The sequence below is a fragment of the Homo sapiens genome, chromosome 16 (assembly GCF_000001405.40).
Source record: "Homo sapiens chromosome 16, GRCh38.p14 Primary Assembly".
In the NCBI taxonomy this organism is placed as follows: domain Eukaryota; kingdom Metazoa; phylum Chordata; class Mammalia; order Primates; family Hominidae; genus Homo; species Homo sapiens.
This window is the reverse complement of record NC_000016.10, coordinates 21,517,434-21,531,411: the sequence shown is the minus strand read 5'-3', so window position 1 is coordinate 21,531,411 and position 13,978 is coordinate 21,517,434. Positions and strand designations below refer to the sequence as shown.

The 13,978-nt window shown below is 54.1% G+C and overlaps 1 pseudogene across 1 annotated transcript, besides 11 other annotated features; it reads left to right on the top strand.

Annotated features, from left to right (window-relative positions):
• Positions 3,385 to 3,554: an enhancer, noted in NCBI's record as "experimental_43111 CRE fragment used in MPRA reporter constructs". NCBI's record gives its function as "activates a minimal promoter by MPRAs in K562 erythroleukemia cells, with activity observed for both the introgressed and non-introgressed 16:21539264 variant alleles {active_cell/tissue: K562}" and the evidence as "EXISTENCE:reporter gene assay evidence [ECO:0000049][PMID:34662402]".
• Positions 3,811 to 4,621: an enhancer, noted in NCBI's record as "H3K4me1 hESC enhancer chr16:21538112-21538922 (GRCh37/hg19 assembly coordinates)". NCBI's record gives its function as "activates a minimal SCP1, AML or CMV promoter by ChIP-STARR-seq in naive H9 embryonic stem cells {active_cell/tissue: H9 hESC(naive)}" and the evidence as "EXISTENCE:reporter gene assay evidence [ECO:0000049][PMID:30033119]".
• Positions 4,622 to 5,432: an enhancer, noted in NCBI's record as "H3K27ac-H3K4me1 hESC enhancer chr16:21537301-21538111 (GRCh37/hg19 assembly coordinates)". NCBI's record gives its function as "activates a minimal SCP1, AML or CMV promoter by ChIP-STARR-seq in naive H9 embryonic stem cells {active_cell/tissue: H9 hESC(naive)}" and the evidence as "EXISTENCE:reporter gene assay evidence [ECO:0000049][PMID:30033119]".
• Positions 5,433 to 6,243: an enhancer, noted in NCBI's record as "H3K27ac-H3K4me1 hESC enhancer chr16:21536490-21537300 (GRCh37/hg19 assembly coordinates)". NCBI's record gives its function as "activates a minimal SCP1, AML or CMV promoter by ChIP-STARR-seq in naive H9 embryonic stem cells {active_cell/tissue: H9 hESC(naive)}" and the evidence as "EXISTENCE:reporter gene assay evidence [ECO:0000049][PMID:30033119]".
• Positions 6,939 to 7,671: an enhancer, noted in NCBI's record as "NANOG-H3K27ac-H3K4me1 hESC enhancer chr16:21535062-21535794 (GRCh37/hg19 assembly coordinates)". NCBI's record gives its function as "activates a minimal SCP1, AML or CMV promoter by ChIP-STARR-seq in naive H9 embryonic stem cells {active_cell/tissue: H9 hESC(naive)}" and the evidence as "EXISTENCE:reporter gene assay evidence [ECO:0000049][PMID:30033119]".
• Positions 9,139 to 9,873: an enhancer, noted in NCBI's record as "OCT4-NANOG-H3K27ac-H3K4me1 hESC enhancer chr16:21532860-21533594 (GRCh37/hg19 assembly coordinates)". NCBI's record gives its function as "activates a minimal SCP1, AML or CMV promoter by ChIP-STARR-seq in naive and primed H9 embryonic stem cells {active_cell/tissue: H9 hESC(naive and primed)}" and the evidence as "EXISTENCE:reporter gene assay evidence [ECO:0000049][PMID:30033119]".
• Positions 9,874 to 10,606: an enhancer, noted in NCBI's record as "OCT4-NANOG-H3K27ac-H3K4me1 hESC enhancer chr16:21532127-21532859 (GRCh37/hg19 assembly coordinates)". NCBI's record gives its function as "activates a minimal SCP1, AML or CMV promoter by ChIP-STARR-seq in naive and primed H9 embryonic stem cells {active_cell/tissue: H9 hESC(naive and primed)}" and the evidence as "EXISTENCE:reporter gene assay evidence [ECO:0000049][PMID:30033119]".
• Positions 10,587 to 11,246: a silencer, noted in NCBI's record as "silent region_7256". NCBI's record gives its function as "represses an Ori minimal core promoter by ATAC-STARR-seq in GM12878 lymphoblastoid cells {active_cell/tissue: GM12878}" and the evidence as "EXISTENCE:reporter gene assay evidence [ECO:0000049][PMID:35858748]".
• Positions 10,587 to 11,340: a biological region, named in NCBI's record as "H3K27ac-H3K4me1 hESC enhancer GRCh37_chr16:21531393-21532126".
• Positions 10,607 to 11,340: an enhancer, noted in NCBI's record as "H3K27ac-H3K4me1 hESC enhancer chr16:21531393-21532126 (GRCh37/hg19 assembly coordinates)". NCBI's record gives its function as "activates a minimal SCP1, AML or CMV promoter by ChIP-STARR-seq in naive H9 embryonic stem cells {active_cell/tissue: H9 hESC(naive)}" and the evidence as "EXISTENCE:reporter gene assay evidence [ECO:0000049][PMID:30033119]".
• SLC7A5P2 (solute carrier family 7 member 5 pseudogene 2) lies at positions 10,968 to 13,519 on the top strand (annotated as a pseudogene). The gene has a single exon (NR_002594.1). The product of NR_002594.1 is annotated as a solute carrier family 7 member 5 pseudogene 2 (transcript).
• Positions 13,502 to 13,668: a silencer, noted in NCBI's record as "fragment chr16:21529065-21529231 (GRCh37/hg19 assembly coordinates)". NCBI's record gives its function as "represses an EF-1alpha promoter that drives an FKBP-Casp9 reporter gene in an ReSE screen in K562 erythroleukemia cells {active_cell/tissue: K562}" and the evidence as "EXISTENCE:reporter gene assay evidence [ECO:0000049][PMID:32094911]".

The window sequence follows — 13,978 nt, the reverse complement described above, 5'->3', positions numbered from 1 at the left end:
AAAAAAAAAAAAAAGACTTGATCCAGAACTCAATGTTGGGTCTGAGTGTGGCTTTTCTGTCTCTCTTTCGTGATGTTGTCTCTCTCTTGGCAAGCTCATTCTTTTTGTGGAAAGAGAGCTACCACTTGTGCCAGGATGGTTTCCATTAATTCATGTAACATTTATTGAGTGCCAATTACGTGGCAGGCTCTATTCTAGACTCTGGGGACAGAGCCTAGACTGTTTCAGGTCTGAAGAGCCTTTGCCTCGGAGCTCACGTTCTGATGGAAGGAGGTAGACCATGATGCATCAACACAGAAAGTCTGGGGTGGTAAGTCACAGGGAGAGGACATGGCTGGGTGGGGAGGTCTCTTCTACAGGGGCCATTTGGGCAGAGACCAAAGGAGGAGTGAACCACATGGCTACCCGAGGGCAGAGAATTCCAGGCAGAGGCTGGAGGCAGGAGCACCCTTCTGGTGTTCAAGGTGCAGCCCGAGGGTGAGGGCAGCCAAGTGCAGGGGTGAGGAGAGAGGCATGGGAGGCAAGGGTGGGTACTGGGGCCCCATAGGCTGGGTGGAGACTTTGGAGCTGCTGCTGGGTTCTGAGCAAAGGGCATTTTCGAGTGGAAAGGCTCAGTTTGGCTGTGCTGCCAAAGAGTTTTCCAAAGTGGTCGTTCCTGTCCTTGCCAGCAGGTCATTGTGTGCTTTCTGGAGGGTGTGCCCAGGTGTCTCCTGTGGATTTAATTTGCACTTCCCTAATGATTAATGATGTGGAGCACTTTGTGCAGATTCATTGGCCATCTGCATATCCTCTTTCACCAGATACCTACTTGAGCCATTTGCCCATTTTTCTCTTGGGCTGTCTGTGGTTTTCTTAGTGATTTTTAGGAGTTCTTTATATATTCCAATTATAAGGCCTTTGTCCATTTTACAAATCTCTTCTCCCACTCTGGGGCTGCCTTTCACCCTCTTTTTTTTTGTTGTTTTTTGTTTTGTTTTGTTTTTGAGATGGAGTCTTGCTTTGTCACCCAGGCTGGAGTGCAGTGGCGCAATCTTGGCTCACTGCAACCTCCACCTCCCGGGTTCAGGTGATTCTCCTGCCTCAGCCTCACAAGTAGCTGGGATTACAGGCGTACACCACTGTGCCTGGCTAATTTTGTATTTTTAGCAGAGACGGGGTTTCTCCATGTTGGTCAGGCTGGTCTCGATCTCCCGACCTCAGGCGATCCGCCTGCCTCGTCCTCCCAAAGTGCTGAGATTACTGGCATGAGTCACCGCGTCGGGTCTGGATCAAGCTTATAGCAATGGTTGCACCTGATCAGTTACACAAGCCAATAGGTGCCCTTTCATGTAAGCCAGTTTGGGTTTCTTTTTACCTATTACTTGCTTGGAAAAAATCCAAAATCAGTACAGTGTTTTTCTTTTCCTTTTTTTTAGATGGAGTGTCGCTCTGTCACCCAGGCTGGAGTGCAATGTCATGATCTCAGCTCACTGCAACCTCTGCCTCCCGGGTTCAAGCAATTCTCCTGCCTCAGCCTCCCGAGTAGCGGGGATTACAGGCACCCGCCACCATGCCCAGCAAATTTTTTTTTTTTCTTTGAGACAGAGTTTTGCTCTTGTCGCCTAGGCTGGAGTGCATTGATGCCATCTTGGTTCACCACAACCTCTGCCTCCCAGGTTCAAGCAATTCTCCTGCCTCAGCCTCCCAATTAGCTGAGATTACAGGCATGGGCCACCACGCCTGGCTAATTTTGTATTTTTACTAGAGATGGGGTTTCTCCATGTTGGTCAGGCTGGTCTTGAACTCTCAACCTCAGGTGATCCGCCCGCCTCAGCCTCCCAAAGTACTGGGATTACAGACGCAAGCCACTGCGCCCAGCCTATTTTTTTTTTTTTTTTTTTTTTGCATTTTTAGTAGAGATTTGGTTTCACCATGTTGGTCAGGCTGGTCTCGAACTCCTGACCTCAGGTGATCTGCCTACCTTGGCCTCCCAAAGTTCTGGGATTACAGGCATGAGCCACCGTGCCTGGCCCAGTATTTTTATTTTCATAGCATTAAAAAATATTCCTCCCAGAAGAGAGAAAGTTTTACAATCAACCTAATTAAATTATCTTCCAATGTCACCTTACAGTCAGATAAGCACAGAAAAATAAGCAGATGCTAATCTGTTTCCCAAGGTGATAAAAGCCGTTTCATTCCGGGGAGATAAAGAATAAGTAGGTTAGGTCAGGCGCGGTGGCTCACGCCTGTAATCCCCGCACTTTGGGAGGCTGAGGTGGGCAGATCACCTGAGGTCAGGAGTTCAAGACCAGCCTGGGCAACATGGTGAAGCCCCGTCTCTACTAAAAAAAAAAAAAAAACGCAAAAAATTAGTCGGGCATGGTGGCAGGCACCTGTAATCCCAGCTACTTGGGAGGCTGAGGCAGGAGAATTGCTTGAACCCGGGATGCAGAGGTTGCAATGAGCCAAGATTGTGCCACTGCACTCCAGTCTGGGCGACAGAGTGAGACTCCGCCTCCAAAAAAAAAAAAATACAAAAACTAGGCTCACGCCTGTAATCCCAGCACTTTGGAAGGCTGAGGCAGGTAGATCATGAGGTCAGGAGATCAAGACCATCCTGGCTAACACGGTGAAACCCCGTCTCTACTAAAAGTACAAAAAACTAGCCGGGTGTGCTGGCATGTACCTGTAGTCCCAGCTACTCGGGAGACTGAGGCAGGGAGAATTGCTTGAACCCAGGAGGTGGAGGTTGCAGTGAGCCGAGATCGTGCCACTGTACTCCAGCCTGGGCAACAGAGTGAGACTCCATCTCAAAAAGAAAAAAAAAAAAAAACTAAGGCTAGGCACGGTGGCTCACGCCTGTAATCCCAGCACTTTGGAAGGCTGAGGTGGGCAGATCATGAGGTCAGGAGTTTGAGACGAGCCTGGGCAATATTGTGAAACCCTGTCTTTTCTAAAAATACAAAGAAAAATTAGCCGGGCGTGTTGGCATGCACCTATAATCCCAGCTACTGTGGAGGCTGAGGCAGGAGAATCGCTTGAACCTGGGAGACGGAGCTTGCAGTGAGCCGAGATGGCGGCCACCGCACTCTAGCCTGGGTGACAGAGCGAGACTCCGTCTCAAAACAAAACAAAACAAAATCTAGCCAGAAATCGCTTGAACCCAGGAGGTGGAGGTTGCAATAAGCTGAGATTGTGCCACTGCCCTCTAGCCTGGGCAACAGAGTGAGACTCCACCCCTCCATGCCCCCCCAAAATAAAGTGTCTGGCTCTTTAAAGGAGATCACACTTGGTGGTGATGCGGGTGAAAGAGGATTGGGTTGAAGGAGTCAAAGTAGAAGTGGGAAAGCACCAAGCTGGGAAATGGGCACGTTTCTGTTCTGCGTCTAAGGTGATGCTCCTGACTTCGATTCCATCGATCAAGAGGAGTTTGCTGAAGGACAGGGTGTACAGCTGCCTTGCCCGCTCCTGAACCAGGCCCGGGGTGAAGTGTGTTGTGCACATTCAGCAGCTCCAGCCCCGCTGTGGGTCGCACTGACATGCTGGGCCCAGCCCACGCCCCAGAAGCTCGCAGCGCCATTGGTCTGGGGAATGGTGTTTTATGAGAAACTCCTGAAGTGACAGGATGGTGTCATTGGGCATAAGGGCCACGGCACTCCCACTGAGTTGCGACAAGTTCTACAAAATCATCCCTGGTTTTTAATAAGGAAACTGAGGCTCACTTGACAAGTTGAGAAAGTTGTCGCTGACCCGCTAGGCCAAGGGATACGCAGCATTTCACTCTTGCCTTCTCTTATTTGTGCAATTAGTCAAGGAAAAAGTGCAGCAAAGAGAGAGTCCTGAACCTTAAAACCCAGGAGAAAACTTATCCTACAATGCCGGGCAGTTCACGCTGATGGAAGCAGCAGCCAGAGGAAGGCACTTGGCTGGGCTTCCTGCAGCGCTGTGAGAATAGCCCGCTCCTCTGGTGGGGAAGGGGTGACACAGTCAATGGAGGGGGTGGTGTCTGAACCTGGAGCTTGGGATGGGGGCAGACAGCAGCTATTCAGCCATTCTCCATGGGCTGCCCATTTCCATGGGGACCTGGAGACAGAGAAAGGCCCAAGCGGCCAGAGGGGCCCTGGGCTCCAGTTCTACCAGCCCCACATTGACATCGTGTCCAACAAGATACCAAGAGAAGCAGGGAGTGGCTGACCTTCATTTTCCATATCAACACAGGGGGCCCTCTGCACGCACCAACATCTTTGTCTCCTGAAAAATGGCCTTTGTCAGTTATTTTTAAAAACTGGTGTTAATCCTGAGACACGGAGATACTCCCAGGAAGACATCCGAGCCTGGACACACTGAGATGAAACCAGAAACACTCCGAGAGAAAATGACATTGATTCCAGCCCTCAAAGCAACGGGACAAAAAACAAACAGGAGGCTTCCCTCCCGCCCCAGGGGCAGCGGCCAATGTCTGCGGCTCTGCGGGAAGGGCTCTCACTGTGACCAGATTGTGGCTTCTGATTGTATTGTAGAATTTCTGGCCCAGCTTTTAAGGTTCAAGGCTTCCTCCCTTTGCTTTTATGTTATTTTCTTGTTTAATAAAGATACACCTGTGTGAGAAGCATTGCCTGTTCACAGCTGCCACCGCCTCCTCCTCCTCCGCTTCCTCCCCATCCCCAGCACATCCTTCCCATCGACCCTCCAGAGAACCAAGCTCAATTCAGAGCAGGCCATGTGCCCAGCTACATCCCCTCAGCCTTGCCCCCCTGAGACAGAATCCACATTCCTGCCCCTCCGCCCCCACCCTCTCCTGGCAGCCCACTCTGTGCCGACCAGAATATCGGCCCCCTCCCACCCCAGGGCTCTTGTGGCTGTTCTGATGGACCTGAGGGCACCCTTCCCCGCCCGCCCCACACCACCTGCTCAACACCTGCTCCTCCTGTTCCCTCAGCCTGAGCTGAGCCCCCAGATGGCACCTGGCACACAGCGGTGCCCAGCAGTAACGGAGCTGTCATTTTTTGACACTTGTCCCTCCTGCTGAAAGGTGGGCTGTCCATGCACTGCTGCATCCCCAACTCTGTGCCCACCAACCCCGTCTTGATAAATGGTTCCTCCATCCACCCGACGCCACAGGCAATCTCGGGAGCCCCCTTGGGCCCTCCTCTCCCCTCACTCCTTGCACCCAGGGCAGCAGCACGCTCTGCTGGAGGACCCTCAAACTGCTGCCTATTCCAAGTCCGTCCACTTTTCTCTGTCCCTTCTGCTGCAGCCTGAGTGACAAGCTGGGCTTCCAGTTTAGCCACTTCCTTTCCAGCCTCTTCCCCTCTTCCCTCAAATCCCTTTTTCTTTTAACAGTGGGTTTTTTTGAGAAACCGACACTTGGCCATTCTGCTGCCCTGTTCAAAACTGAGGCTTTCCACTAGGCTTGGGATCGAGCACGAGCTTCTCCCAGCAAGATTCGCAGCCTGGCCCTCTTCCACGTCACCTTGTGTGTGTGGGCCTCTGGCTGGGGTTGCTGTCCCCACGGCTGCTTCACAGTCACTCCTTTCCATCCTCAACCAGCTTTCAGACACTTGTCCCAACCACGGTCTCCCTGTGTCCCCTCCCCAGCTGTTGGCATCAGGCATGTGTTGCTGCATGATGCTTGCATCCTCCTCTGGAATGTGAGCCCCCAGGGGCGGGATCCTCAACCATTCTGCTTGCCCATGGCACAGAATAAACGCGGTCAGGCGCCATGGGCTGCAGTGCTCCCACTTGTAAGCTCGGGGACTGCTGTGCACTGCCCCTGGGCCTCCAGGCGCTGCTCCCTCTCCTGGGCTCATCCTCCTTCGTCAGTGCCAGCCCCAGGCAGCAGCATCCCCTCCCCCCACACCCAGGCTCCTGCACATCCCACGTTATCACAGGGGTGCACATGAAAGGGTCACCCGCAGGCTGGGGTGTCATGAGGACATGCATTCTCACAAAGCCAGGCGTATGTCTAGCTATTGTGAAATGTTTGCTGAGTCAATGAATGAATTGCAGGATACTAGATGGATCTGGCTACAAATGTTTAGAAACTACCTTAAATCCAGTTAACTGGGGGCTGTCATCATTGAGAAGTCTAGACAAAATGAGTGACAGGGAGCAGGTGTGATCAGACATGGAGCAGACATGGATCACACATGGAACAGACATGGCTCACACATGGAGCAGCATGGACCACATGTGGAACAGACACGGTTCACACATGGAACAGACACAGTTCACACATGGAACAGCATGGACCATACATGGAACAGACACAGATCACACATGGAACATACACGGCTCACACATGGAACAGCATGAATCACATATGGAGCAGCATGAATCACACATGGAACAGACATGGTTCACACACGGAACATACATGGTTCACAGATGGAACAGACATGGTTCACACATGGAACAGATAGTTCACACATGGAACAGATAGTTCACACATGGAACAGACATGGTTCACACATGGAACAGACACAGTTCACACATGGAACAGCATGGACCATACATGGAACAGACACAGATCACACATGGAACATACACGGCTCACACATGGAACAGCATGGATCACACATGGAGCAGCATGAATCACATATGGAGCAGCATGAATCACACATGGAACAGACATGGTTCACACATGGAACAGACATGGTTCACACATGGAACAGACATGGTTCACACATGGAACAGATAGTTCACACATGGAACAGACATGGTTCACACATGGAGCAGCATGGATCACACATGGAACAGACACAGTTCACACATGGAACAGACACAGTTCACACACGGAGCAGCATGGTTCACACACGGAGCAGGCACCACACACCCATGCCGTAGCATGCATCAGCCTGGTTTTCGGGCCCACACAATAGAAGTCATTGTTTTGGTGGTAAACAATATCCACCTGGATATTTTTCAAAATAGAGAATTGAATTATAACCTACAAATTTCCATCCTCACATGGAAATTTGACCTGGTTGAATGGCATCTGCCCTGCAGCCACTGTCCCCAAAACTGAGAGGCGGGGCAAAGTAGCCGAAGAAAGCAGCGCTGAAGCTGGCAGCTGCAAAGAGTGCAGGGCCCTCCAGTCTCTACAAAATTCACAGCTGCTTCCAGCCTCATGCTGGGACGTGGGCTGAGCAATGAATTCTTCTTGTAATCCAGGGTAGAGTGGAAGAAAGTTCAAGGTGAGCATCAACTCATTCAATCACTTAACAATAGGCAGGTTTGGCTCATACTGCAGAGGCCAAGCAGGAGAACCTGGCTCCTGTGTCTCTGGAAATGTTAAAATGCCTGTCAACAGGAAAAAAAGATCTGTCTCTGCCATCCTGAAGGTAAGTTTGCCACCTACGCACTAAAGATTAAGGCCATATTTTTTCAATGTTGAGATTATTCCCTTTGTCTGCAAACAGGGGCTTAGGACAACAGCCCTTTCTTCTCTCACAGTCCCGGAGGCCAGAGGCCAACATCAAGGTGGTGGCAGGGCCAGACTCCCTCGGGGGCTCCAGGACCCCTCCTGCCTCTTCCAGCTTCTGGGGGCTCCAGGTGTCCCTTGACTCAGAGCCGCCCACTCCCATCCCCGCCTCCATCTTCACGCTCCAGCCACTGAGACCATGCCCGACACAGCAAGTGTGGGCTGCTGCAACTGCTGTCCCTCCGTGTTCCCTCTGCACACATTGGAAAGAAAGTCTGAGGGTGGAAGCCAGGCATTCGGCCAGCCCTGGGAGCACAGTTCGGCAGTGACGGCAACACCAGCAGCTCAGGGTCCTCCACCCGCCAGCCCCGGGAGCACAGTTCTGCAGTGAGGATGACACCAGAGGCTCAGGGTCCTCCACCTGCCAGCCCTGGGAGCACAGTTCTGCAGTGATGGCAATGCCAGCGGCTCAGGGTCTTCTACCTGCTGGTCCCCAGGAGGCGGGCGCAGGTGTCTCCCTGCTTCACAGAAGAGGAAACTGAGACTTTGAAAGCTGAGCCGAGTCACTCGCCTGGTGCCACATTAACCAGCAAGTGGTAGAGGTGAGATCTGAACCCAGGACCGTTCGATTCTAGGCCTGAACTGCTTTTATCTTTTGGATGTATAGTTCACACATAACATAACATTAACCGTTAGTCATTTAAACACGTACAAATCCGTGGTGTTTAAGTCACTCCCAGTGTTGGGCAACCATCCCCATCATCTAGTTCCAAGACATTTTATCACCCCAAAGAGAGACCCCATCCACTCAGCCCTCACTCTCCATCGCCCCTTCCCCCCGCCCTAAGCAGCCACGAATCTCGTCCGTCTCTCTGGATCCTCCTGTCCTGAACATTCGTGCACTCGGAATCATACAACCCGTGGTCACTGACCCTTTCACGCAGCCCAGTGTTTTCAGGGGTCCTGCACATTGCAGCGCGTCTTCCTGTGTGCAGCTGAATGACTCTCCAAGGGATGGCGGACTACGCTGGGTTTATCCATCATCCACGGATGGACGGGCCTGAACTCTGACCCCGGCTCCTACTGTTGCTTCCATGTCATCTTTTTTTTTTTTTTCAAGACCAGTCTCGCCGGGCGCAGTGGCTCACGCCTGTAATCCCAGCACTTTGGGAGGCCGAGGCGGGGGGATCACAAGGTCAGGAGATCAAGACCATCCTGGCTAACACCGTGAAACCCCGTCTCTGCTAAAAATACAAAAAATTAGCCGGGCATGGTGGTGAGCGCCTGTAGTCCCAGCTACTTGGGAGGCTGAGGCAGGAGAATGGTGTGAACCCAGGAGGCGGAGCTTGCAGTAAGCCGAGATCGCGCCACTGCACTCCAGCCTGGGTAACAGAGCGAGACTCCGTCTCAAAAAAAAAAAAAAAAAAAAAAAAAAAAGACCGGTCTCATTCTGTCGCCTAGGCTGGAGTGCAGTGGCGTGATCTCAGCTCACTGCAGCCTCAACCTTCCCCAGCTCAGGTGATCCTTCTACCTCAGCCTCCCCAGCAGCTGGGACTACAGGTGCACCACCACCACGCTGGGCTAGTTTTTGTATTTTTTGTAGAGACGGGGTCTCCCTATGTTGCCCAGGCTGGTCTTGAACTCCTGGGCTCAAGAGATTTTCCCACCTTGGTCTCCCAAAGGGCTGGCATTACAGGCGTGAGCCACCGCGCCCAGCCTCCAAGTCATCTTTCACACGCAGAGCACGCCTGAGAGCAGCAACAAGACTAACGTTGGGGCCAAAGCTAAGAAGTGGGGCGGAGCCTCCCTGGTGGCCGGTCGTCAGCCCAGTGCCTGAAATGCATGCAAAGTCTATTTTTATTTTGCGTAGTTGAACCTAAGCAAAAAATCTGGCCCTATAATCTCTAACCTTGCTCCTAACTGGCACCTACCCTATTGCACAAGAAGCTATCTAGGGGAGGACTCAGTGAGCACTCGGTGAGTTTGTCCAGCCATGGTGGTACTGTCTCCTTCCCTCTGCAGGCACAGCGGGAAGAATAGGGTGGATGGAGGGCTCTCTGCACCTTCCACAGCCCGCAGCGTGGACGGCAGATTACAAGTTAGTATCTGTGCGACCTCCGCACTCCCCTGCCGGTGGCTGCCTGGGCTGCTGAGATTTCGCTTGGTTTTATCACTGCAGAGGAATGCCTGCCATACCGGGGGGCGAGCAAGGTCCAGAATGACAAGCCGTGGCATTCCTCAGCCGCCTCCTCCCCGGGGTGGGGCCTGGACATTCCTGGCTGCAGCTAGAGGTCCCAGCACGACAGGGATTCTGACCCCCCCTCCACCACGGCTATTGTTCAGAATTCTGTGGATTCCAGAGGCATCTGCCCAGCAGACTGTCTTGCTGTGAACACCCAGCTCTGCAACCGGTGTTTGCGTGTTTGCCCTGGGAGGCTGAACGCTCACCCAGAACAAAGGCCTCCCCACATGCCTGCTGTGAGCTTCCAAGTACTCGTTAGGACACACGCCAAGGAACCCCGGGTTGGGGGGATACCGAGGAGCTTCCTCCCTGACCCACACACACCCTTTGAACAGGTCTTTGGCTGCTCACCAGTCTGGTCAATCTCGGGGCAGTATTTATATTCCTTCCCGTTTCCAGGCCTAGGAGCCTTGGCATCCTGCTCTCGCCTCTAACTGAAATTACCTCTCAACCCTTTTTAGCTAAGATGCCTCTCGCATTCCCCAGGAATAACAAGCTTTAAAGCCCCTTCACACTGAAGCCTGCCTTTGAATTTCCCAGCTAGATTTGGGGGTGGGGGTCTTATGGCTCCCGGTGAACCCCCGGTTCTGTTGATTAAATTGAGCTCAGGCAGAGTGCTGGCTTCCCAAAGCCTGTGTTATTACTGCTTCTCAAAGCTACGGGCACCGGATCGCCATCTTTGGCAAGATTCTTTTGGGATACAATGGGAATTACTGGGTGGCCTCGGTTCGGTTCTTCCCTCGTCTCAGTTCGCGGCTCACCAGCCACATTGATGCAGCCCCCAGGCTGGAAGGAGGCTGCAGGAGCTTCCCCTCAGGTCATCTTCTCATCCCTCCCCCGTGCCCCAGGAGCTGGTTGTGGGGGCGGTTCCATCCCCTCGGCCCATCCGGGACAGGAGCCTAGGTTCCCTTCGGGGGGTACCCCAAACCCCATCCTTGGCCTCAGGCCAGCCCTGGTGCACTGCCCGCTCCCAGGCTTGACGAGAGGCTGCGGGCCAGTGGGTGAAGGGGCTCGCCCTGACTGCCAGGCCCCGCCCAGGCGCACCCGGGAGGACGGGCTGGGATGACGCGGGCGCCGGGGGGGTAGGTCGCGAGGCCGGGGTCTCCATGGCGCAGGAGTACGGGGGCCTTCGAGGACCACGCGGGCCTGGGAATCGCCTGCCAGGCTAGGCCGGACGACGCACGTGCTCCGAGCTGGGTCGAGGGGGCGGGGCTGAGGGCCGCGGCCGGGCCACGGGTCGGGGAGGAGCCGCGGACGGTGGGCGGGGCCAGTGGGCCGGGGCCTAAAAGGCGGCGCGGGCGGGGTTCCTGACGCAGCTGCGGGCGGCGGGCGGCGAGCGGCGCGCACAATCCTCGCTCGGCTGCGGCTCCCGGGTGTCCCAGGCCCGGCCGGTAAGCAGAGCATGGCGGGTGCGGGCCCGAAGCGGCGCGCGCTAGCGGCCCCGGTGGCCGAGGAGAAGGAAGAGGCGCGGGAGAAGATGATGGCCGCCAAGCGCGCGGACGGCGCGGCGCCGGCAGGCGAGGGCGAGGGCGTGACCCTGCAGGGGAACATCACGCTACTCAAGGGCGTGGCCGTCATCGTGGTCGCCATCATGAGCTCGGGCATCTTCGTGACGCCCACGGGCGTGCTCAAGGAGGCAGGCTCGCCGGGGCTGGCGCTGGTGGTGTGGGCCGCGTGCGGCGTCTTCTCCATCGTGGGCGCGCTCTGCTACGCGGAGCTGGGCACCACCATCTCCAAATCGGGCGGCGACTACGCCTACATGCTGGACGTCTACGGCTCGCTGCCCGCCTTCCTCAAGCTCTGGATCGAGCTGCTCATCATCCGGCCTTCATCGCAGTACATCGTGGCCCTGGTCTTCGCCACCTACCTGCTCAAGCCGCTCTTCCCCACCTGCCCGGTGCCCGAGGAGGCAGCCAAGCTCGTAGCCTGCCACTCCGTGCGTGAGTACGGGGCGCGGGCCGGGGGTTGGGAGGTCGTAGTCCCTGGGTCCCTGCATCCTTGCATCACTACGCCCCTGGCTCCCACATCTCTACATTTTTGCGTTCCTGGACCGTCCCGGCAGTTCTAGGCTAAGGTCATTGGTCCCAGAAACCAAGTGCGTTTCTTTCATTCATTCTTTTACACTTCTCCCCACAGGCTGGGAATATCTTCAGTGACGGGACAGCAGGGTCCCTGCCCTGCCCTTCGGTGGGCATTTCATTCCCCCACTTAAGCGGTTCAGGCAAGTGCCAGCCTCCCGTTGGCCCCGCTGAGCAATACTCCCAGCCTCTTGCGTGGCACCCACGTGGAGTAACTGAGCAACCGGTTTATTGTTAAAGCTCCGATTGCTGACTGGTTGGTGAAAACGAAATTGCAGTTAAAAAGAAAATTATTCATTTCTGCTCTCCACACCAGCTCGTCAGGAATCAGTGACACGGGCTGACTCATAAGAAAACAGTAGTAATAAAATCGTGTGCGGGTAGTGACTGGTGCTGGTTTAGGCTAAGGGATCCCCCCTGAGGGTTGCCCAGTAGTGAGAGAGCGGAGCTTGGCTGCAGATTCAGTCTGTGTTACAGTGAATGGAGGTTCGGGTCCCAGGTTACTCTGGGAAACAGCCATGGGGCTCCTATTTTGGTGGGCATGGTGCTGGTGTGTTCTTCACCAGGCCAGAGAGAACTGCTTTTCAAAATAGTTTTCTTTTCTTTTCTTTTTTTTTTTGAGATGGAGTCTCACTCTGTCGCCCTGGCTGGAGTGCAGTGGCGCGATCTCGGCTCACTGCAAGCCCCGCCTCCCGGGTTCACGCCATTCTCCTGCCTCAGCCTTCCGAGTAGCTGGGGCTACAGGCGCCCGCCACTACGCCCGGCTAATTTTTTTTGTATTTTTAGTAGAGACGGGGTTTCACCGTGTTAGCCAGGATGGTCTCGATCTCCTGACCTTGTGATCCGCCCGCCTCGGCCTCCCAAAGTGCTGGGATTACAGGCGTGAGCCGCCGTGCCCGGCCTCAAAATAGTTTTCTTGTGGGATTTCAGGGGGAAAATGACTTGTACCAGATACCACATGATTTGGTTGGGTGGCGTGGGAAGGCGGGTCTTGGCAATTCTCAGGTTCATCCCATGGCAAGGATCGGCCTGGATCTCAGTAGTGTGTGTACACATTCAAGGTGGGAAGGGTTAATTTATAGTTGGGGTCTTGAGCCATGAAATCAGGGGAGTGGCTTCTGACTGGCAGGACCTGTTGGCGCTGTTTTCTGCCACACCGTACTTTGGGGAGAAGGGGGAGGGGGAGGCATTTCTTCATAAATGTGAGAATGCCCCGAGGGCAAGACTCAGCAGGGCTCTGTGTGGTTTCTCTGAGGCTCTGAGCGGAGCAGCCGCACCACCATGCAGGTCAAAGCCGGGAAAAATCGTAGGACAGGAGTGGGGAGAGCCTGTGGCTTCCAGCTGGGCGTTGGACATGTGAATGTAGGGGATGACTGATTTCTTTTTTTTGTCATTAGAATTTCACTGGTTCAGTCTCCCTCTCGCCTAGGTACATGCCCGCCTGGTATGTAACGACATGGATAATAGCTTATGCAGCCTGCACTCTTACCTTTAAAAAATGAATCCCTGTTGGCTGGGTGTGATGGCCCACGTCTATAATCCCAGCACTATGGGAGGCCAAGACAGGCAGATCTACCGAGGTCAGGAGTCCGAGACCAGCCTGACCAACATGGTGAAACCCCATCTCTACTAAAAATACAAAAATTAGCTGAGCATAGTGGCTCACGCCTGTAATCCCAGCTACTTATGAGTCTGAGGCATGCTCCGGGACGTGGAGTTTGCAGTGAGTTGAGATCCTGCCACTGCACTCCAGCCTGGGTGACAGAGCAAGCCTGTCTCAAAAAAAAAAAAAAAAAAAAAAAAAGCAGCCCCTGGGTGCTGAGTGTCTGACTTCCTGTTGGTGCCAGGAGTGAGTTGTGGGAAATGCTTCATTGGCCACCAGGAAGGAGACATAGGATGGGGCGCTGCCTAGTTTTCTCTTTCTAATAAAAATCACATCAGTCATACATGAATTCATCATCATTTAAAAATTCAAACCAGCCAGGCACTGTGGCTCATGCCTGTAATCCCAGCACTTTGGGAGGCCGAGGCAGGCGGATCACCTGAAGTCAGGAGTTCGAGACCAGCCTGGCCAACATGGGGAAACCCCATCTCTACTAAAAATACAAAAAATTAGCCAGGCGTGGTGGCAGATGCCTGTAATCCCAGCTACTCGGGAAGCTGTGGCAGGAGAATCACTAGAACCCAGGAGGTGGAGGTTGCAGTGAGCTGAGATCGCACCACTGCACTCCAGCTTGGGCAACAAGGCGAAACTCT